Source organism: Homo sapiens, chromosome 2, assembly GCF_000001405.40.
Source record: "Homo sapiens chromosome 2, GRCh38.p14 Primary Assembly".
NCBI lineage: Eukaryota > Metazoa > Chordata > Mammalia > Primates > Hominidae > Homo > Homo sapiens.
In genome coordinates this window covers 135,932,967-135,954,128 of record NC_000002.12, presented here as the reverse complement: position 1 = coordinate 135,954,128, position 21,162 = coordinate 135,932,967, and the positions used below count along the sequence as shown (strand labels likewise).

Genomic DNA, 21,162 nt, shown 5'->3' with positions numbered 1-21,162 from the left:
GCTAGACACTGCTCCCAAGGTATTACGAGTCAAAACTAAAGGGAAAAAAGTTTAGTTTAAAAAATAGAACTGGGCCAGGCGTGGTGACTCATGCCTGTAATCCCAGCACTTTAGGACACTGAGGTAGGAGGATCACTTGAGCCCAAGAGTTCAAGACCAACCTGGTCAACATGGCAAAACCCTGTCGCTACAAAAAAAAAAATTAAATAAATAAATAAAAATTAAAAATAAATAAAAAGTGGATCTGATTATAAAGTAATAAAAAATATTTTTATGTTTGAGTGATAAATTCCTGCTAAAAATTCCAAAGGAGGAATTTATTTTTAACCATTAGTAACACTAATGAGTTTGTCTCTTCCACTATAAAGCAGTAGCTGCCTTCTAAGGAATCACCCTATTGTTAAAAAGCATGCTCTAAAAATAAGGGGGAGGGACAGGGAGTTGGAACCTAGAGAGTTTCATGTTTTCAGTGACAGTTATTCTTCCTGAATAATCTCAATAAGAAAAATTTTGATAGTTAAAAACATGAAACCTAACACCACTAGAGGCAAATCTAATAATCAATTGCATCTACTTTTGCTTAGGCTTTGGGCTTTTTTTTCTTATCAGCACTGCCATTAACACAACACAATACGTTTTGCACCTTTGTATCACTCTCTTGAGAAGTAAGGCACAAAGTCACTCAAAAAAGCAGCTGTGTGGTGTATGCCACTGATGTTGAAAATAAAACCACAGACTCAGAATTTAAAATAAGAATTTATCTTTTACTAAGATTGTGGATGCAGGAAAGAATAGAAAGGATTTGGCTGGATAACTAATACTGTTCCTTAACACATCTAATTGCAGGCGCTTTGTTAGACACTTGTACCAACTAAAGTCCTTTCCTAGAATTGCTCCATCAACAGCAAGGGAGAAGAGATCTTGGAACATTTAGGTATGGGTGTCCTTTTAGATTAGCTTTTTGTAGAGTGTGCTAATGTACTGTCAGTTCTGCTATGTGACATACGCATTCCTAAAACTAACCGTCCTATGCAAAATTGTGCAATAAAAACCACAGTGTTTATGGAGAAAATGAGATTAATGGCATAACACTCAAAAACTTGATGTGGAGAAAGGGAAACCCCTCATACACTATTGGTGGGAATGTAAATTAGTATAGCCTCTATGGAAAACGGTATGGCGGCTCATGAGAAATTAAAAATAGAACTACCATATGATCCAGTAATCCCATTATGGGGTAATTATTCAAAGGAAATGAAATGATTATGTCAAAGAGAGATACATATTTGCACTCCAATATTTATTGCAGCACCATTCACCATAGCCAAGATATGGATTCAACCTAAGTTTCCTTCAACAGATGAATGGATAAAGTGTGGGATATATACACTCTGGAATACTATTCAGCCATAAAAAGTGAAATCTTGTCATTTGTGGCAACATAGATGAACCTGCAGAGCATTATGTTGAGTGGAATAAGCTGGACACAGAGAAATACTGGATGATCTCATGTGCTAAAGATGTTGATCACATAGATGTAGAGAGAATAGTTGGTGGGGGGCAGAGGGGGATGAGGGAGAGATTGGTCAGTCTGTTCAAAATTACAGATAGGAAGAAGAGTAAGTTCTGGTGTTCTCTTGCACAGTAGGGTAACTATGGTTAACAATATTGCATATTTCAAAACAGCTGGAAGAGAGAATTTGGGAAGTTCTCACCACAAGGAAGTGATAAATGTTTGAGGTGATAGATATGCCAAATGCTCTGATTTGATTTTTACACGATGTGTACATATATGGAGACATCACACTGTACCTCATAAATATGTACAATTATGTGTCAATTTAAAAAAAAAAACTTCATTAATGGCATACTTTTTGAAAAGATGAGACGGAGTCTCACTCTTGTTGCCAAGGCTGGAGTGCAGTGGTGCAATCTCGGCTTACTGCAACCTCTGCCTCCCAGGTTCAAGCGATTCTCCTGCGTCAGCCTCCTGGGTAGCTGGGTAAATTACAGGCGCCCACCACCACGCCCAGCTAATTTTTGTATTTTTAGTAGAGACAGGGTTTCATCATGTTGGCCAGCCTGGTCTTGAACTCCTCACCTCAGGTGATCCACCCGCCTCAGCCTCCCAAAGTGCAGGGACTACAGGCATGAGCCACCAAGCCCGGCCAGTAACCTAACTTCTTAAAGGTAACAGTTTTATACTCGTTGAATGGTTAAGAAATACATAAATACTACAATAAATATAGCATTTTACCTTGAAAAAAATGTGCAGTTTGCTTGTGGAAGTGGGTATCAAAAGAAAGGCAGTTTGTAAGTTATTTTGAAGTGATGGAAGGAACAGTGTCTGAAATCAGAGGGAAAGTTGTAACACCAGATGTGGATGGGTATGGCTCATAACATGAGTTACAAGTAGATGTTTAAGGTGTGTGCATTTTGTATATTCCTGCATGGCCGAGTGCACCCAAGTGTTGTTGTCTGCATTGACCGAGTGTTCTCACTGATGAAATCTGGCATAGGCAAAAGCAAAATTCTCATTATACTCAAATTGTTCCCTAATGTGTCAACGATGTTGAAACAAATTCACATTTTCAAAACAAGCTTTATAGCAAAACTGTACTCTTGAAAGTGACAACAGGGTTTGCTAGTGAATGGATAAAACATGAATCTTATCTGTTTGCTTACAACTTATGTGTGGGGGTAAGGAAAATAATGAATTAGAAAATTACTGGTTTGAGAAACTAAGTGGAAGTGACACCATTAATCTGGAATAAATTGCCAACATGGACTGAGAGTACACATGACCCACTCTTTGGAACTGAGATGGGCTCATCTTCCCATATGGCACTTGGCCAAATATAGAGTAGACACCAAAGAGGAGTGAAGCTAGCCCCTTTAGCAAAGAAGAAGGCAAGTCCATTGGGCAGGCAGCCAGTAGTGTTTCCTAAGCTTAACTATATCGAGTTAATTGAAGAGAAGTTCCAGGCTTTTGAGTTTAGAAAAAGCCCAACAGGTTGTTTTACCCAATAATCCTCTGATTATAATTTCCACCAATCTGCCTCCCCCAGGCTGCCTCATTTTCCGTTGGACCTCATCAAGACTTCTAGTCTTTTTATCCATCTCCACATTCTCTCCCAGTCTTTTCAGCCTCTTCCTGACCTCATGTGGCCCCATGCTCCATTCCTGAAACTACGCTCTGCACCTTTATCCACTGTTCCCCGCCCCTTTGTTTCTCTTGCCCCACAAACACCCTACAAACTCCCCTGTCCCAAAGACTCCTGATTCCATCATCTAACACCAGGCTAGAGTATCCTGTGTGTTCATGGCATGACAACTGATTCCTATTCCTCAGCTGGGCCCACTAGTGTATATTCTACTTTATAATGAAAATAGAGGTTTATGGGCTGTGCCTGTGTTTTCGTTGTTTCACTGACCTCTTCAGGATCTCATTCCTCTTTATCTCTTAGTTTCTAAGTATAATTGGAAAGGCAAAATTTGGAAAGCACTGAGTTCCATTGCTTAGTATTCTACCACCCTTCTGTTATTATTAAAAACAGTACATCACCAACATCTAAACCAATTCTAGTGAGTTCTGTTGCTTAAATAAAACAAAAATCTTTACTTAGAAACTTGAGGATCAATGAAGCATGAGATAATTCAGAAGAATATTTAGTTAGTAACACATTCTCTTTGGGAAGCTAGCAGCTCAGTTAGTGAACGAGCTAACTATTCTGCCAGAATCTGGTTTGGAAAATAGTATGGAGAGAAATATGTCTGTGAGGAAAAGGCCATTTCTAATCTCCATTTAATTTTAATTCTGTCTTAGATCAGTTGTTATATATAAAATGCTTGGAGCTAGAGGAGTGCCTTAGGACTATTTGTTTATTTTCAAGATGTTTCGTTTCCATTTTGAATGTTACTGCCCAAAGAGACTGGACATTAAAGCATGTGAACTCATACACAACAAAGTGGGAGAAACAATGGTGTTTATATGTTAATTCCATGAAGCCCTATATTTAACTCTATTCCCTCTGGCCATATACCAGGTGGAAAAAAGCAAGGACTGTGCTATTAAAAATATCAAATCAGATAGTTCCAGCTGGGGTTTCTTAATCATTTAAAAGGCAAAATATGAGGTCACTTTTAATATCTTAAGTAGATAACGATCTTAGCATTTACTTTAGATATTAAATCTGAAGTGCTTATCTTTTGCCTTACTGGCTAGACAATACTACTAGCAGTTTCTAGCTTTGGAGTATTTTCCTTAAAAGAAACATTGGAATTTAATACGGAGCCAACTATTTTGCCTCAAATTGTCTGTCTTAGGAATATCCAATTCATCAATAGAGTAATCTAAAAAGTTGATTCACTAATTGGATTTAAGTGCCACAGGACTCTTCACACATTATTTTAATCAATTTGTTGGAAAGATCAATTTTCTCATGGATGAATGCATATAAAAATGAAGCAATTGAATGAGTTACATAGGAAGGTTGGCACATCTAATTCCCTAGAGGTTCTAGGAACAGGTTCTTAATTATATATCTGAAATGGTTTGAGGTTTTTAAATGAAATTTGTCTAGAAGCAGGAAGATGCAATACCCATCTATCCAGGCCTGTATTTCTGGATCCCCATCTTATCTAATATTTAATAGTTGATCCTGAAGTTGAGATATTATCCCTTTATTCTTTTAAAAAAAATTTTTTTGTATGTGTGCCATTTTAAAGTAATTAACAGAGTAGTTTGTGTTAGTTTTGGTTAAGTGTTATAAAGCCAGTTTTTTTTTAAAGGAAGTCCTGGAGGCCTTTTTGTATTGACTGTTAGAGAGGACAGTGAGTGTAAACACAAGTTTTTAAAGTTTAAAGTTACAGTGCCCACTATAAAGGACTACAATTAATGTGAAAAGTAGTTTTAAAGTTAAAATTTATATATCGCTGTTTGTGCTTATATAATACTTCCCACTCTCCCCAAACATAGAGGTATTCTGATTCTGAAAATAAGCCTTTTTTAGTACCATTATGTGTATACATATATATTTTATTTTATTTTTCTTTATATTAGTCATTGTGGTTAAATGATTTATTGGTAGCTGATGAGTCACAAGTATGTTTCTCATTCTCTAATGAGTCACCTAGCTACCTACAAGTTTGTTTATTTTCTTTCCTTTCTAGATCTTTCACCTAAAATAGGTGTTTTACTAGTTGGTAGGTTAAAATTTCAGTTTGCTACATTAACTTTTTTTTTTTTTTTGGAGACGGGAGACGGAGTCTCGCTTTGTCACCTAGGCTGGAATGCAGTGGCACAATCTTGACTCTCTGCAGCCTCTGCCTCCCAGGTTAAAGCGATTCTCTACCTCAGCCTCCCGAGTATCTAGGACTACAGGCACACGCTACCACGCCCAGCTAAATTTTTTTTGTGTACTTTTAGTGGAGACGGGGTTTCACCATGTTGGCCAGGCTGCTCTCAAACTCCTGACCTCAAGTGATCCACCCGCCCTGGCCTCCCAAAGTGCTGAGATTACAGGCATGAGCCACTGTACCCAGCCTACATTAACTATTAGATCTGGAAAATACCAAAATAATACTCAGAAGAAGTCTCATTGATTTTTACAAACTTGTATTTAGCACGTGCTCTGGTCCAGGTACTCTGCTGGGCTTGAGTATGCAAAGATTTATGTGTGTCATATATATCTTAGGAGAAGCTTAATTTTGGGAGAGGGCAAGGGAGATAAACAACTGCATGCAGAGGCAGGGTATACAGGTGCTGTGATAGGAGTGTATATTGTCTGTAGTTGAGGCCCAAAGAGAGGTGTGCATGTGGATACCCCTTGAGCATCCATATGGATAAGTTGGTGAATGTAGGCAAGGCCATTATACTGTTGTGTATTGCAACTCCTTGAACAGTTGCACCTACATTTTATACCTCTTTGTTGGAACAGGGTATTTATCTGTTAGAGGAAAAACAGCTTCTATTTTCAGTCCTGTCCACTGCAACATCTGTATTGAAAATTTGGATAATGCTAAAGGTGTGCTAAGAAAAAAAACGGGTCTAAAATCTGCTGTCAGAAATTTTCAGATCGTTTGTGGGATTAATTCTCCTGGGCTAAATATAACTTTGTATAAAACAATATGAAATTATTATTTAAAGATTTTGCTGAATTTCTACTAAGGTTGGCAACAACAGCAAAACATCAAGATACATCAGTGTTACTGGGGAAGGTAGTATGATTCCTGGACATTTGGGAAACTATTACTAAAGGGCCTATTATTTTCAGTTGTTGTTGTTTTTTTGTTTTTTTTTTTTTCACAGAAACTATAAAGCAATCTAGCAGCTCATGAGCTTCTAAGAATGAAAATGTATTATTTCATAGTGAGCTGATGATGCATTCTGAGATATTTAAATTTAGTTCTAATTTGTCAGTCTGTAACAGAACTGTCTAGTGCAATAATCATTAAATGATCTTATTAGCTATGTGATGGTAGTCTAATTACTTAACCTTGTAGAGTCTCAGTTTTCTCATCTGTAAAATGTTGATAATACCTACCGTGTAGGCCTTTGTGAAGCGCAAATGAGATAGTGTCTACCTAAAGCACTTCACACAGAACCTGGAACATAAAAGGGAATTGCTAAAGAAATAATAGAAATAATACTTTAGGGATTTAGTTGTTAAATCTCTTTTCTTTTTTCTCTTTTTTCTTTCTTTCTTTTTTTTTTTTTTCTGAGATGGAGTCTCGTTCTGTCACCCAGGCAGGAGTGCAGTGGCACGATCTCTGCTCACTGTAACCTCTGTCTCCTGGGTTCAAGCAATTCTTCTGCCTCAGCCTCCAGAGTAGCTGGGGCTACAGGGCCACGCCACCACACCCAGCTAATTTTTTTGTATTTTTAGTAGAGACTGGGTTTCACCATGTTGGCCACGCTGGTCTTAAACTCCTGACCTCAGGTCATCCACCCACCCCGACCTCCCAGAAGTGCTGGGATTACAGGCATGAGCCACCGTGCCTGGGCTAAAATCACTTTCATTTGAGCTATAAAAATAAAAGTGTGTTTGCCAGGCATGGTGGCTCACGCCTGTAATCCCACCACTTTGGGAAGCAGAGGCAGGTGGATCACTTGAGCCCAGGAGTTCGAGACCATCCTGGGCAACATGATGAAACCCTGTCTCTACATAAAATACAGAAATTAGCCGGGCGTGGTGGTGCCTGCCTGTAGTCCCAGCTACTCAGGAGTCTGAAGTGGGAGGGTCACTTGAACCTAGGAGATGAGTTTGCAGTGAGTTGATCCCAGTGATTCTTCTCTATATGCTCAGGAGGACTCGTCAGAGTCAAAACCTGATACTGGGACCCAGCAGCAAGAGATAAACTGCTTTTTCCCCCGATTTATGTCTCCATTTATTTGCAAGATGGTGACCTCTTTGACTGGAGTTGTGTGCTGTTAAATATTTTTTCACGTGTCTCCTATACAGAAATTATACCTTCACCCTTGATTTTCAGATCATCTACGGTAGCCATTTCTCAGGGTTTATGATTCTTGTTCTCTACCCCAGTGCTCTCCAAAGTGTGATATGCTCAAGATTACCCATTGAGGGAAAGAAAATAATTCAACTTCCTTCATTCCGCCTACCCTTTCTTCCCTGCTTTTTTCTTTTATCTAAAAGGATGAGAATGAATTTGAGTTTTTCCAATAGTTAATTTATACATAAACACTGGACCCATAACTTGGATTGCTTCTCAGAAGGTTACATATCACCTATAGCATGTGAGGTTTCTGAAGGAAGATTGTGGGATTCCAGTAATGAAAAGAAGCTAGCAGTGGTACCCTCATTCTCCTCTCTCCTCCCTTCTTTCTTCCCCTCCCCTCCTTTCCTCTCCTGTAGATATTATGCCATCTTCATATACAATGTCAGTTAAAACCATATAATCAGACTCTTTCTACAGTCAGTAGAATTTTATTCTTCTACTGCAGTAATGTACGCAAGTATTCCTGTCTCTCTTGTTTTGACTCTATTTTATATATACACACATAAAACCCTCGGATAGTCTGACCCTTTTTCACAAATGGAACCTTTTTGATTTTAATGTTTTTTCTTCTGAATTCACTCATGTCTACAGTAAGACAAAAATGGATGTAGATACAGATGTAGCTGTATAGAGATAATAGGGCTAAATTGTCCAAAATCATGGAATAGTTTTACTAATGTCTAAATAGGTTATGATTTTTAACAGCTGCATATAATAAGGGGAAATACTGAGATTGGAAGGGTTAAAAAAAATTAACTGTTCTCTATGTCTGATTAATCCTGCCTTCTTTCCCGTTGATTCAGTAGAACAATTTGTAATTGCAGAAATTTATAATAGCTTTGGCCCTAGCTTAAGAAATAGTTTGTGGTTTCAGAAGTTAATTTGTAAGTTGTTTCGTCCTGGAAACAATGTTCTAAGTGGTAGTTGTTTTCTAGACTAGCTGATCTAATATTTTAGCACTCAGTACTACGAAATTAAAGTACTAAAGGTAGATATAGTTCCATGTTTCAGGTCCTGGGTTAAAAGAGTCATCTGGTACTTTTGAATGAGAAAGAAGAGGGAATTTTTTTTTGCTTTAATTGGACCTACAGCCAGCCCTGGGCAGAGTATCTTTGACTACATTCCACCTTCTTTCTAGAAGGATACTAGCATGACGCTCAGTCCTTAAAAGCAGATGTGTTTGGGCCGGGCGCGATGGCTCATGCCTGTAATCCCAGCAGTTTGGGAGGCCAAGACGGGTGGATCACCTGAGGTCAGGAGTTCAAGACCACCCTGGCCAACATGGTGAAACCCTGTCTCTGCTAAACATACAAAAATTAGCCAGGCATGGTGGCACATGCCTGTAATCCCAGCTACTCAGGAGGCTGAGACAGGAGAATCACTTGAACCCGGGAGGCGGAGGTTGCAATGAGTCAAGATGGAGCCACTGCACTCCAGCCTAGGTGACAGAGACAAGACCCTGTCTCAAAAAAAAAAAAGTAGATGTGTTTGACTTGAGTTGGCCTGAAGAAGACTGTCTGATAATGGAAGGTGCAGAGGGCCAGCAAATGCCTTCTAATAGGAGTCAAAGTTTGTGAGACGAGGGGACCAAGGGGTCAGGGATATAGAAGAAAGGTAGCAGAGTGGACCTCTACTTGGGACAGGTCAGGTTGCTTGATGAAGCAGTACATTGATCGATACAGAGGAGAAAACCTTCCTTGTGAAGATGTGTGAGATAAGCAATAGAATTCTCACCAGGCCTGAATATACACTCAGTTATCACATTTACTGGTAGGTGGCAGTCAAATTGAAGATAGATTCAGTTCAGTGACACTAGATTGCAAGTATTAGAAAACTTTGTAACAGTCCACTGGAGCCTCTTGATCCCTTCAAGCCTCAGAAGAGCCTTATCTTAGTTCACCAACTACTTCTTTTGCCATAATAAATTCTGAGTTTCTTCAGTAGTCAAGATTTTAGCTAGGTATTAGGTGATAGCCCCAGTGCAGGAGACTTACGAGAGTACAAGAGATATGCATGCTGTTGATTTTTTTTTTTTAAGTTAGTTGGTAACAGACATAAAGATTTCTAGGCAGTGTAGCCAAGTGACATAAACAATTTTCTTTCTTAACTACTCTTCACCTATTATCCTCATTTTGATCCTTTTTCATTGAAATGGATTCTGGTGTTCTCTTGTTTAAAGTAAGTACTGTCTGGTTTCTGGAATGTCTAATTGCACCACAACTACTAAAGACCCAAATCCTCATCAGAATGAATAGAATTTTTCCATGAAAATTAAATCTTATCCTTTTCATCAACTATATTGTGATATACTTTGTCAGTACAAGAATATACACAAAAGTAAAACTGGTACATTTTGTATGGGAATCACCATTTTGGAGTATACATTTTCTTCCTTGGTTATGTACTAGTGATTAAAAAAATAATCATTGTGTTTAATAAGCTACTTTATAAATTTTGTATTTTAGAATTTCAGTGTCTGGTGTTCAGAATTCAAGTTATTATAAAAATAAGCTGTCCAGGAGATGCATTTATTTTACACTCATCATATATTAAACTTCATATAGGCACCCTTTTAAATGGGAGTACACAATCCAATAATCATAAATCTGATGACGGAGTATACTCAGAAGCTAAAGGTAGTGAGGATTTAATTGCAAAACAGCACGCTAATGTCCTCTTATTACCTTAAAATCTTTTCAGTTGACCGTCTTCTATTATTTAATTCCATCACATACCAGTAATTGCATTTATTGAAGCCAGTATTTCTCATTATAGGAAATGCTGATCTTAGTGATTCTCAAAAATAGGGAGGGAAATGTTCTTTAATAAATAATTAAAAGACTTTTTACTACTTTTCCCAATTCGGTACTGGTTTTATTACCTTTTATGTCCAGAGTATTTTATAAGTGGTAACTAAATTATGGCATCTAAAAAATCATCTCTTCAAGGAATCTCACAAGGTATGCTACGTAATAGCTTATTCTAAGTAGGTTAAATAGACTGGCTTTATCTCAAGTGGCTTACTGTATTAAAAAAGAGTTTAACATATTCAGCTTTACTGCTGAAACACCAGAGGAGTTCTGACACCTCTGATGAGATGATTCAAGTTGGGAATTTTTTCTCTTGACAGCATCAACAAAGAGAGCATTGTGGATGTAGAAGGTGTTGTGAGAAAAGTGAATCAGAAAATTGGAAGCTGTACACAGCAAGACGTTGAGTTACATGTTCAGAAGGTAAGTTTTTTCAAAATATAAAATCGCATATAGAAATAGATTTGGGTTCTAATAGTTTTCATGTCAAATTTATATGTTCTTACTAATTAATGTAAAATACTGAGGTTTATAAATTAGTTACTGAATCAATTAGCTTTTGTTATATAACAAATCACCCCAGTACTTAGTGACTTGAAACAACAAACATTTATTTGCTTACAATTCTGTGATGCACCCAACTGAGATGGCTCATCTGCTCCATGCAACATTGGCTGGGCTCACTGATAAATCTGGCACATCTCTTTCTGTGGCTTCCTCTCATCCAGCAGGCTAGCCCAGATATGTTGATATTCAGGTACCAGGAGGGTTCCCAAAGGCAAGAGTGCGAAACCCTAAGAACAGACACTTTTCAAGCTTCTACTTGTGTCACATCTGCTAAATATTCCACTCGTCAAAGTCACACAGCAAAACTTAGATTTAAGGGGTAGAGAAATAGATTCTAGCCCTTGATGGGAGGAAAAGCAACATGATTGCAGGGGAATATACATGCAGGAGCAAGAGGAAGTATTGCAGCCATTTTTGCAAACAGTCTACCACAGCCACATAGGGAAAAATACAAAACACATCTGAAAAACTACTCACCAATATAAGTGAATAATAATGGACCTATCTTGCTATAAGTTTTTTGATGATGTACTTTTATTTTATTTTATTTTTCAGTTTCCATTTTTACTTTTCCTTTATTTTTATACTTTAAGTTCTAGGATACATGTGCACAACGTGCAGGTTTGCTACATATGTATACATGCGCCATGTTGGTGTGCTGCACCCATTAACTCGTCATTTACATTAGGTATATCTCCTGATGCTGTCCCTCCCCCCTCCCCCCACCCCACTACAGGCCCTGATGTGTGATGTTCCCCTTCCTGTGTCCAAGTGATCTCATTGTTCAATTCCCACCTATGAGTGAGAACATGCGGTGTTTGGTTTTCTGCCCTTGTGATAGTTTGCTGAGAATGATGGTTTCCAGCTTCATCCACGTCCCTACAAAGGACATGAACTCATCCTTTTTTATGGCTGCATAGTATTCCATGGTGTATATGTGCCACATTTTCTTAATCCAGTCTATCATTGATGGACATTTGGGTTGGTATCAAGTTTTTGCTATTGCGAATAGTGCCGCAATAAACGTACGTGTGCATGTGTCTTTATAGCAGCATGATTTATAATCCTTTGGGTATATACCCAGTAATGGGATGGCTGGGTCAAATGGTATTTCTAGTTCTAGATCCCTGAGGAATCACCACACTGACTTCCACAATGGTTGAACTCGTTTACAGTCCCACCAACAGTGTAAAAGTGTTCCTATTTCTCCACATCCTCTCCAGCACCTGTTGTTTCCTGACTTTTTAATGATCGCCATTCTAACTGGTGTGAGATGGTATCTCATTGGTTTTGATTTGCATTTCTCTGATGGCCAGTGATGATGAGCATTTTTTCATGTGTCTTTTGGCTGCATAAATGTCTTCTTTTGAGAAGTGTCTGTTCATATCCTTTGCCCACTTTTTGATGGGGTTGTTTTTTTCTTGTAAATTTGTTGGAGTTCATTGTAGATTCTGAATATTAGCCCTTTGTCAGATGAGTAGGTTGTGAAAATTTTCTCCCATTTTGTAGGTTGCCTGTTCACTCTGATGGTAGTTTCTTTTGCTGTGCAGAAGCTCTTTAGTTTAATTAGATCCCATTTGTCAATTTTGGCTTTTGTTGCCATTGCTTTTGGTGTTTTAGACATGAAGTCCTTGCCCATGCCTATGTCCTGAATGGTAATGCCTAGGTTTTCTTCTAGGGTTTTTATGGTTTTAGGTCTAACGTTTAAGTCTTTAATCCATCTTGAATTAATTCTTGTATAAGGTGTAAGGAAGGGATCCAGTTTCAGCTTTCTACATATGGCTAGCCAGTTTTCCCAGCACCATTTATTAAATAGGGAATCCTTTCCCCATTGCTTGTTTTTCTCAGGTTTGTCAAATATGAGATAGTTGTAGATATGCGGTGTTATTTCTGAGGGCTCTGTTCTGTTCCATTGATCTATATCTGTTTTGGTACCAGTACCATGCTGTTTTGGTTACTGTAGCCTTGTAGTATAGTTTGAAGTCAGGTAGCGTGGTGCCTCCAGTTTTGTTCTTTTGGCTTAGGATTGTCTTCGCAATGCAGGCTCTTTTTTGGTTCCATATGAACTTTAAAGTAGTTTTTTCCAATTCTGTGAAGAAAGTCCTTGGTAGCTTGATGGGGATGGCATTGAATCTATAAATTACCTTGGGCAGTATGGCCATTTTCACAATATTGATTCTTCCTATCCATGTGCATGCAATGTTCTTCCATTTGTTTGTGTCCTCTTTTATTTTGTTGAGCAGTGGTTTGTAGTTCTCCTTGAAGAGGTCCTTCACATCCCTTGTAAGTTGGATTCCTAGGTATTTTATTCTCTTTGAAGCAATTGTGAATGGGAGTTCACTCATGATTTGGCTCTCTGTTTGTTTGTTATTGGTGTATAGGAAGGCTTGTGATTTTTGTACATTGATTTTGTATCCTGAGACTTTGCTGAAGTTGCGTATCAGCTTAAGGAGGTTTTGGCCTGAGACGATGGGGTTTTCTAAATATACAATCATGTCATCTGCAAACAGGGACAATTTGACTTGCTCTTTTCCTAATTGAATACCCTTTATTCCTTTCTCGTGCCTGATTGCCCTGGCCAGAACTTCCAACACTGTGTTGAATAGGAGTGGTGAGAGAGGACATACCTGTCTTGTGCCAGTTTTCAAAGGGAATACTTCCAGTTTTTGACCATTCAGTATGATATTGGCTGTGGGTTTGTCATAGATAGCTCTTATTATTTTGAGATACGTCTCATCTATACCTAGTTTATTAAGAGTTTTTAGCATGAAGGGCTGTTGAATTTTGTCAAAGGCCTTCTCTGCATCTATTGAGATAATCATGTGGTTTTTGTCTTTGGTTCTGTTTATATGCTGGATTACGTTTATTGATTTGCATATGTTAAACCAGCCTTACATCCCAGGGATAAAGCCAGCTTAATGGTAGTGGATAAGCTTTTTGATGTGCTGCTGGATTTGTTTTGCCAGTATTTTATTGAGGATTTTTGCATCGATGTTCATCAGGGATATTGGTCTAAAATTCTCTTTTTTTTGTTATGTCTCTGCCAGGCTTTGGTATCAGGATGATGCTGACCTCATAAAATGAGTTAGGGAGGATTCCCTCTTTTTCTGTTGATTGGAATAGTTTCAGAAGGAATGGTACCAGCTCCTCTTTGTATCTCTGGTAGAATTCAGTTGTGAATCCGTCTGGTCCTGGACTTTTTTTGGTTGGTAGGCTATTGATTATTGCCTCAATTTCAGAGCCTGTTATTGGTCTATTGAGGGATTCAGCTTCTTCCTGGTTTAGTCTTGGGAGGGTGTATGTGTCCAGGAATTTATCCATTTCTTCTAGACTTTCTAGTTTATTTGCATAGAGGTGTTTATAGTATTCTCTGATGGTAGTTTGTATTTCTGTGGGATCGGTGGTGATATCCCCTTTATCATTTTTTATTGCATCTATTTGATTCTTCTCTCTTTTCTTCTTTATTAGTCTTGCTAGCGGTCTGTCAGTTTTGTTGATCTTTTCAAAAAACCAGCTCCTGGATTCATTGATTTTTTGAAGGGTTTTTGTGTCTCTGTCTCCTTCAATTCTGCTCTGATCTTAGTTATTCTTGCCTTCTGCTAGCTTTTGAATGTGTTTGCTCTTGCTTCTCTAGTTCTTTTAATTGTGATGTTAGGGTGTCAATTTTAGATCTTTCTTGCTTTCTCTTGTGGGCATTTAGTGCTATAAATTTCCCTCTACACACTGCTTTAAATGTGTCCCAGAGATTCTGGTATGTTGTGTCTTTGTTCTCATTGATTTCAAAGAACATCTTTATTTCCGCCTTCATTTCATTATGTACTCAGTAGTCATTCAGGAGCAGGTTGTTCAGTTTCCATGTAGTTGAGTAGTTTTGAGTGAGTTTCTTAATCCTGAGTTCTAGTTTGATTGCAGTGTGGTCTGAGAGACAGTTTGTTATAATTTCTGTTCTTTTACATTTGCTGAGGAGTGTTTTGCTTCCAGCTATGTGGTCAATTTTGGAATAAGTGCAATGTGGTGCTGAGAAGAATGTATATTCTGTTGATTTGGGGTGGAGAGTTCTGCAGATGTCTATTAGGTCCGCTTGGTGCAGAGCTGAGTTCAATTCCTGGATATCCTTGTTATCTTTCTGTCTCATTGATCTGCCTAATGTTGACAGTGGGGTGTTAAAGTCTCCCATTATTATTGTGAGGAAGTCTAAGTCTCTGTAGGTCTCTAAGGACTTGCTTTATGAATCTGGGTGCTCCTGTATTGGGTGCATATATATTTAGGATAGTTAGCTCTTCTTGTTGAATTGATCCCTTTACCATTATTTAATGGCCTTCTTTGTCTCTTTTGATCTTTGTTGGCTTAAAGTCTGTTTTATCAGAGACTAGGGTTGCAACCCCTGTTTTTTTTGGTTTTCCATTTGCTTGGTAGATCTTCCTCCATCCCTTTATTTTGAGCCAATGTGTGTCTCTGCATGTGAGATGGGTCTGCTGAATACAGCACACTGATGGGTCTTGACTCTTTATCCAATTTGCCAGTCTGTGTCTTTTAATTGGAGCAATTAGCCCATTTACATTTAAGGTTAATATTGTTATGTGTGAATTTGATCCTGTCATGACGTTAGCTGGTTATTTTGCTTGTTAGTTGATGCAGAAAAGCTGAAAATTCTAAAAATCAGAGTGCCTCTTATCCTCCAAAGGAACGCAGCTCCTCGCCAGCAACGCAACAAAGCTGGACAGAGAATGACTTTGACAAATTGAGAGAAGAAGGCTTCAGACGGTAGATAATAAACTTCTCTGAGCTAAAGGAGGATGTTTGAATACATCGCAAAGAAGCTAAAAACCTTGAAAAAAAGATTAGATGAATGGCTAACTAGAATAAACAGCATAGAGAAGAACTTAAATGACCTGATGGAGCTGAAAACCATGGCACAGGAACTACGTGATGCATGCACAAGCTTCAGTAGCCAATTTGATCAAGTGGAAGAAAGAGTATCTGTGATTGAAGATCAAATGAATGAAATGAAGCAAGAAGAGAAGTTTAGAGAAAAAAGAGTAAAAAGAAACGAACAAAGCCTCCAAGAAACATGGGACTATGTGAAAAGACCAAATCTACGTCTGATTGGTGTACCTGAAAGTGACAGGGAGAATGGAACCAAGTTGGAAAACACTCTTCAGGATATTATCCAGGAGAATTTCCCCAACCTAGCAAGGCAGGCCAACATTCAAATTCAGGAAATACAGAGAACGCCACAAAGATACTCGAGAAGAGCAACTCCAAGACACACAATTGTCAGATTCACCAAAGTTGAAATGAAGGAAAAAATGTTAAGGGCAGCCAGAGAGAAAGCTCGGGTTACCCGCAAAGGGAAGCCCATCAGACTAACAGCTGATATCTCGGCAGAAACTTTACAAGCCAGAAGAGAGTGGGGGCCAATATTCATCATTCTTAAAGAAAAGAAATTTCAACCCAGAGTTTCATATCCAGCCAAACTAAGCTTCATAAGTGAAGGAGAAATAAAATCCTTTACAGACAAGCAAATGCTGAGAGATTTTGTCACCACCAGGCCTGCCTTATAAGAGCTCCTGAAGGAGGCACTAAACATGGAAAGGAACAACCAGTACCAGCCACTGCAAAAACATGCCAAATTGTAAAGACCGTCGATGCTAGGAAGAAACTGCATCAACTAACGATGATGTACTTTTAAAGAATGATTAATTAACTAATTCTTAGTCTTATAATAATTACTTTTCTGATATTTTTTACAACATAGAGAAGTCAAAATAAATAGTACCTTATTGGTCTTATATTCCAACAGTAGCTTCCTTTTTTTTTAAAGAAGACTTATCTCTGATCTGTTTTTTTCTCAGGATTAAAAACTGAAAGAGCTCATTATCATTGACTTAAAATACCATAAGTGTCACTTGAGGTCAGGAGTTCAAAACCAGCCTGATCAACATGGCGAAACCTTGTTTCTACTAAAAATACAAAAATTAGCCAGGCGTGGTGGCAGGTGCATGCAATCCCAGCTACTCAGGAGGCTGAGGCAAGAGAATTGCTTGAACCCAGGAGACAGAGGTTGCAGTGAGCCAAGATCGCACCACTGCACTCCAACCTGCGTGACTAAGTGAGACCCCATCTCAACAACAAAAAAAAACCATAAGTGAATTCACACATATTTAGTACTATTGAAATAACCCTGCCAGTTTGAACCTACAGTGCTCAGATTTAGGTCTAGATTGTATCTACAATATACATCACTAAATTTCTCTTAAGGAGTAGTCTTTAAGACAGCATGGCCTCTTCCCGCCCTGATCCGTGTGCACATGCATGACCATATGTAAGAGTCAGGCAGACCAACAGGCAGACAGATTCAGAGATAGGCCTATATGTACTTACTGATTTAAGAGTAACATTGTATTTAGCTGGAATCTGTTTTCTTGGAACTCTTCAAGACTTACAAAACCTTGTAATTTTTACTGACCTAATTTGACAAATGACTTTGTTGTCTTTGTGTAAGTCTCATCTTGAAACAACCCCACCAGGAAGTTTGTAACCTAGTAAAGACAAACTGACCAAAGAGTAAGAATAAAGATAAATGAATAAACCCATTTATGTTGACCAAGAAAGATAACTCCCACATCTTCCAAGTAACACATCTTTTTCAGTACTTGAATAAAGAAAATTTGGCCAGATGTGGTGGCTCACACCTGCAATCCCAGTGCTTTGGGAGGCCAGGGTGGGAGGATCACTTGACCCCAGGAGTTGGAGGTTACAGTGAGCTGTGATCACACCACTGCGCTCTAGCCTGGGTGACAGAGCAAGACCCTGTCTCAAAACTAAAAAAAAAAAGTGTATGTGTGTGTATATATATATTTCTGTTTTTTTACTAGAAGCAAATGTAGTTTTAAGATATTCTTATTGTCTAGATGTGTGCAATGCAACATTAATAAATATTAGTAATAAATTTTAAGCCAGAAGAGCTTACAGAATTTGCCATAATAAAAATAAAGTATTTCACAAAGCATGAAGTATTACCTACTAAGTAGAATCTTATATAAGTAGTGACTTTGCTTTATCACTTATTTATTTATTCAGCCAGCAGTTACTGTTGATAGGTGCTTTGTGCCAAGCACTATGTGAAGACTCTGGGGTCAGAGTACTCATGGTCTAGTAAAGAGGATGATGAATTCCCACTAGTTATAAAAGTAGAAGTAGCAGCTCTTCAGCTCTCCAGTTTGGATTGGAGATGAAGTTTCTGTTAACTTGTCAAAGGGAATCCTAGAATTTGGGTTTAGGGAGTGGTGACAAATAGTTCTATTTTATAATAAGGAATACTAGAGTATCCTACACTATTTCTTGGAGTATCTAAGCTGAATGCCAATATTGATCTGCCAACTAGAAGAGTATAATTCCCTTTCCTGAAGTAACTAAATAAGGTATTTTTCCCGTTTGTGCTTTAGCAGGTTTTCCAGACATAGTTTGGGTTAACTAATATGATAAAATGGTTTTTAAAGGTAGCCAGAAAAACAAAAAGCAAAAAACTCTAGTTCAGTCTTTATGACCCAGTTGCTTTTTATCACTAAAATGTGAAATTAGTGTGAGTGAATATTGATGGAATTTTTATTTATTTATTTATTTATTTTTTCGAGACAGAGTCTCGCTGTGTCACCCAGGCTGGAGTGCAGCGGCGGGATCTCGGCTCATTGCAACCTCCACCTCCCAGGTTCACGCCATTCTCCTGCCTCAGCCTCCCGAGTAGCTGGGATTGTAGGCACCTGCCACCACGCCCCACTAATTTTTTGTATTTTTTTTTAGTAGAGATGGGGTTTCACTCTGTTAGCCAAGATGGTCTCGATCTCCTGACCTCGTGATCCGCCTGCCTCGGCCTCCCAAAGTGCTGGGATTACAGGCGTGAGCCACCGCGCCTGGCCTATTGAGGGATTTTGACAACATAAAGGAACATCCTCTAGGGCATTTCCTAACCAGGAGACTGGCAGGAAATGAGATGTTTGTAACATGTTTAATGAGAGAGAGCAATGAAGGGGTACTTGAAAGGAGAAAGAATGAGAAAAGAAGTGCAGCAGAGCTGGACTGAATTTGGTCCTAGTGGTGGCAGTGGCAGTGGCGCTGGCCAAATGCTGTTAAAAATAACAAGATGGCCGGGCGTGGTGGCTCATGCCTGTAATCCCAGAACTTTGGGAGGCCATTGCAGGCAGATCACGAGGTCACGAGTTTGAGACCAGCCTGGCCAACATAGCGAAATGCTGTCTCTACGAAAAATACAAAAATTAGCTGGTGTGGCACGTGCCTGTAGTCCCAGCTACTCAGGAGGCTGAGGTGGGAGAATCGCTTGAACCCGGGAGACAGAGGTTGCAGTGAGCCAAGACCACACCATTGCACTCCAGCCTGGGTGACAGAGTGGGACTCCGTCTCAAAAAAAAAAAAAAAAATGATAGCAAGTCATATGTTAATTGCTCCTTCACATGAGTAAAGTGTTTTCACATTTATTATTCTGTTTGATTCTTATAGCAGGCTTTATTTTAATTGAAGCTCTGAGATTAAGTGATTTCCCTAACAATAGCTTTTTTGTGTTTATGTTTGTTTTTGTTTCTGTTTTTGTTTTTTTGAGACAGGGTCTCACTGTCACCCAGGCTGGAGTGCAGTGGTGCGATCTTGGCTCACTGCAACCTCTGCCTCCCAGGTTCAAGTGATCCTTGTGCCTCAGCCACCCAAGTAGCTGGGATTTTAGGCACGTGCCACCATGCCTGGCTAATTTTTGTGTTTTTTGTAGAGACGGGGTTTCACCATGTTGCTTAGCCTGGTCTCGAACTCCTGGGTTCAAGTGATTAACCCACCACAGCCTCCCTAAGTGCTGAGATTATAGGTGTCAGCCACAGCACCAACCCCTAACCATAGCTTTTTTGACATAGCTAGACCGTAAGCCAGTGCCTACACCCCAGTCATTACTTATTACATTGGTAGGCATCTTAAAATTTACAAATAATTTTTATATATGTTACCTTATTTGACTGTTCTAACAACCATAGAGGTAGGCAAAAAATATTATTATCCCCATTTTAAACAAATCATCAAGGTGAAAAAACCTGTATCATCTTGTTTGATTTCAGCAAGTAGTTTCAATTAAAGATGTATGCAAACATTGCTTCATGCTTAAGTCAACTGTAGATTGTTTTTTAAGAAAAAGATGCAGATTTTGTGTGCTTTCTACTATTTTTGGTAATCTCTCACTTACAGATTTATGTGATCAGTTTGGCTGAACCCCGTCTGCCCCTGCAGCTGGATGATGCTGTTCGGCCTGAGGCAGAAGGAGAAGAGGTAAAAATTATACTTATGAAATATTATGCTTCCGCTGTATATTTAGTTTGCAAAACATTGAAAACCTGATGTACTAAGGGTGTCTGTGAATTGATTTTGAGCTCCATTGTTATTTAAACTTACTCTTAAAATCAGCAATTCTCAAACCTTTTGGTATCGAGTTGCCTTTTACATTATTAAAAATAATTAAGAACCCTACAAGCTTTTGTTTTTATTGGTATATATATCAATATTTACAGTATTGGGAATTAAAACATTTTTAAATATTTATTACTTTATTAAAAATTATATATACATTGCATACATGTTTGCATATGTAGTATTATGTAAATAATGAAGCTAATAACATTTTATGAAAAAATTACAGTTGTCCAAAGCAAAAAATAATTATTGTTAAGAGTGACATTGTATTTAGCAGTCCATTGCCTTAACCACTCAGCTCCCTCATCCTTCGGATGACATTCTGTTTATATAACCACAATTCTTTGTGATTTCTGGCTTAATAGACAACTAGATTCTCATATTGCCTCTGCATTCATTCTATTGTGATAATACACATCATAGAATCTTTAGCAGACTGCTCAGTATACTCATGAAGAGTGAAAAACAAAAAGTATTATTATGAAAAAGTAAGTTTGACTTCATCAACTTCTGGAAAGTCTCAGGGACCTTCACTGCTCCCCAGACCACATTTTCAGAACCACTACTCTATGTCAGCTTTTATCTGTTCCTTCAACCTTGGGCTAGCAGGTTAAATCCAGGAATCAATGAAGAAGTGGGTGGTTAATTTTTCTTATATCCCAATAATGAGGCAAGGCTTTGAGGGGTGGAGGAGGGAAAGAACCATTAATATCTGTTCATTCTTTGTCTTCTTTCCATCTCTCTTTTAACGCTAACTTCTCTCTGGCCGCACTTTGTGTTTCTACCATTATCTGATTTTCGG

General features: G+C 38.5%; 1 protein-coding gene across 2 annotated transcripts in view; it reads left to right on the top strand.

Moving 5' to 3' along the window:
• The window catches only part of DARS1 (aspartyl-tRNA synthetase 1), a 79,804-nt gene that overhangs the window by 31,556 nt on the left and 27,086 nt on the right, over positions 1–21,162 (top strand). For both annotated transcript variants that reach the window (NM_001293312.1, NM_001349.4), the window contains 2 exons: positions 10,649–10,751; positions 20,139–20,219. In NM_001293312.1, coding sequence (NP_001280241.1) covers positions 10,649–10,751; positions 20,139–20,219 — 184 coding nt within the window. The remainder of the gene's footprint in view (positions 1–10,648; positions 10,752–20,138; positions 20,220–21,162) is intronic.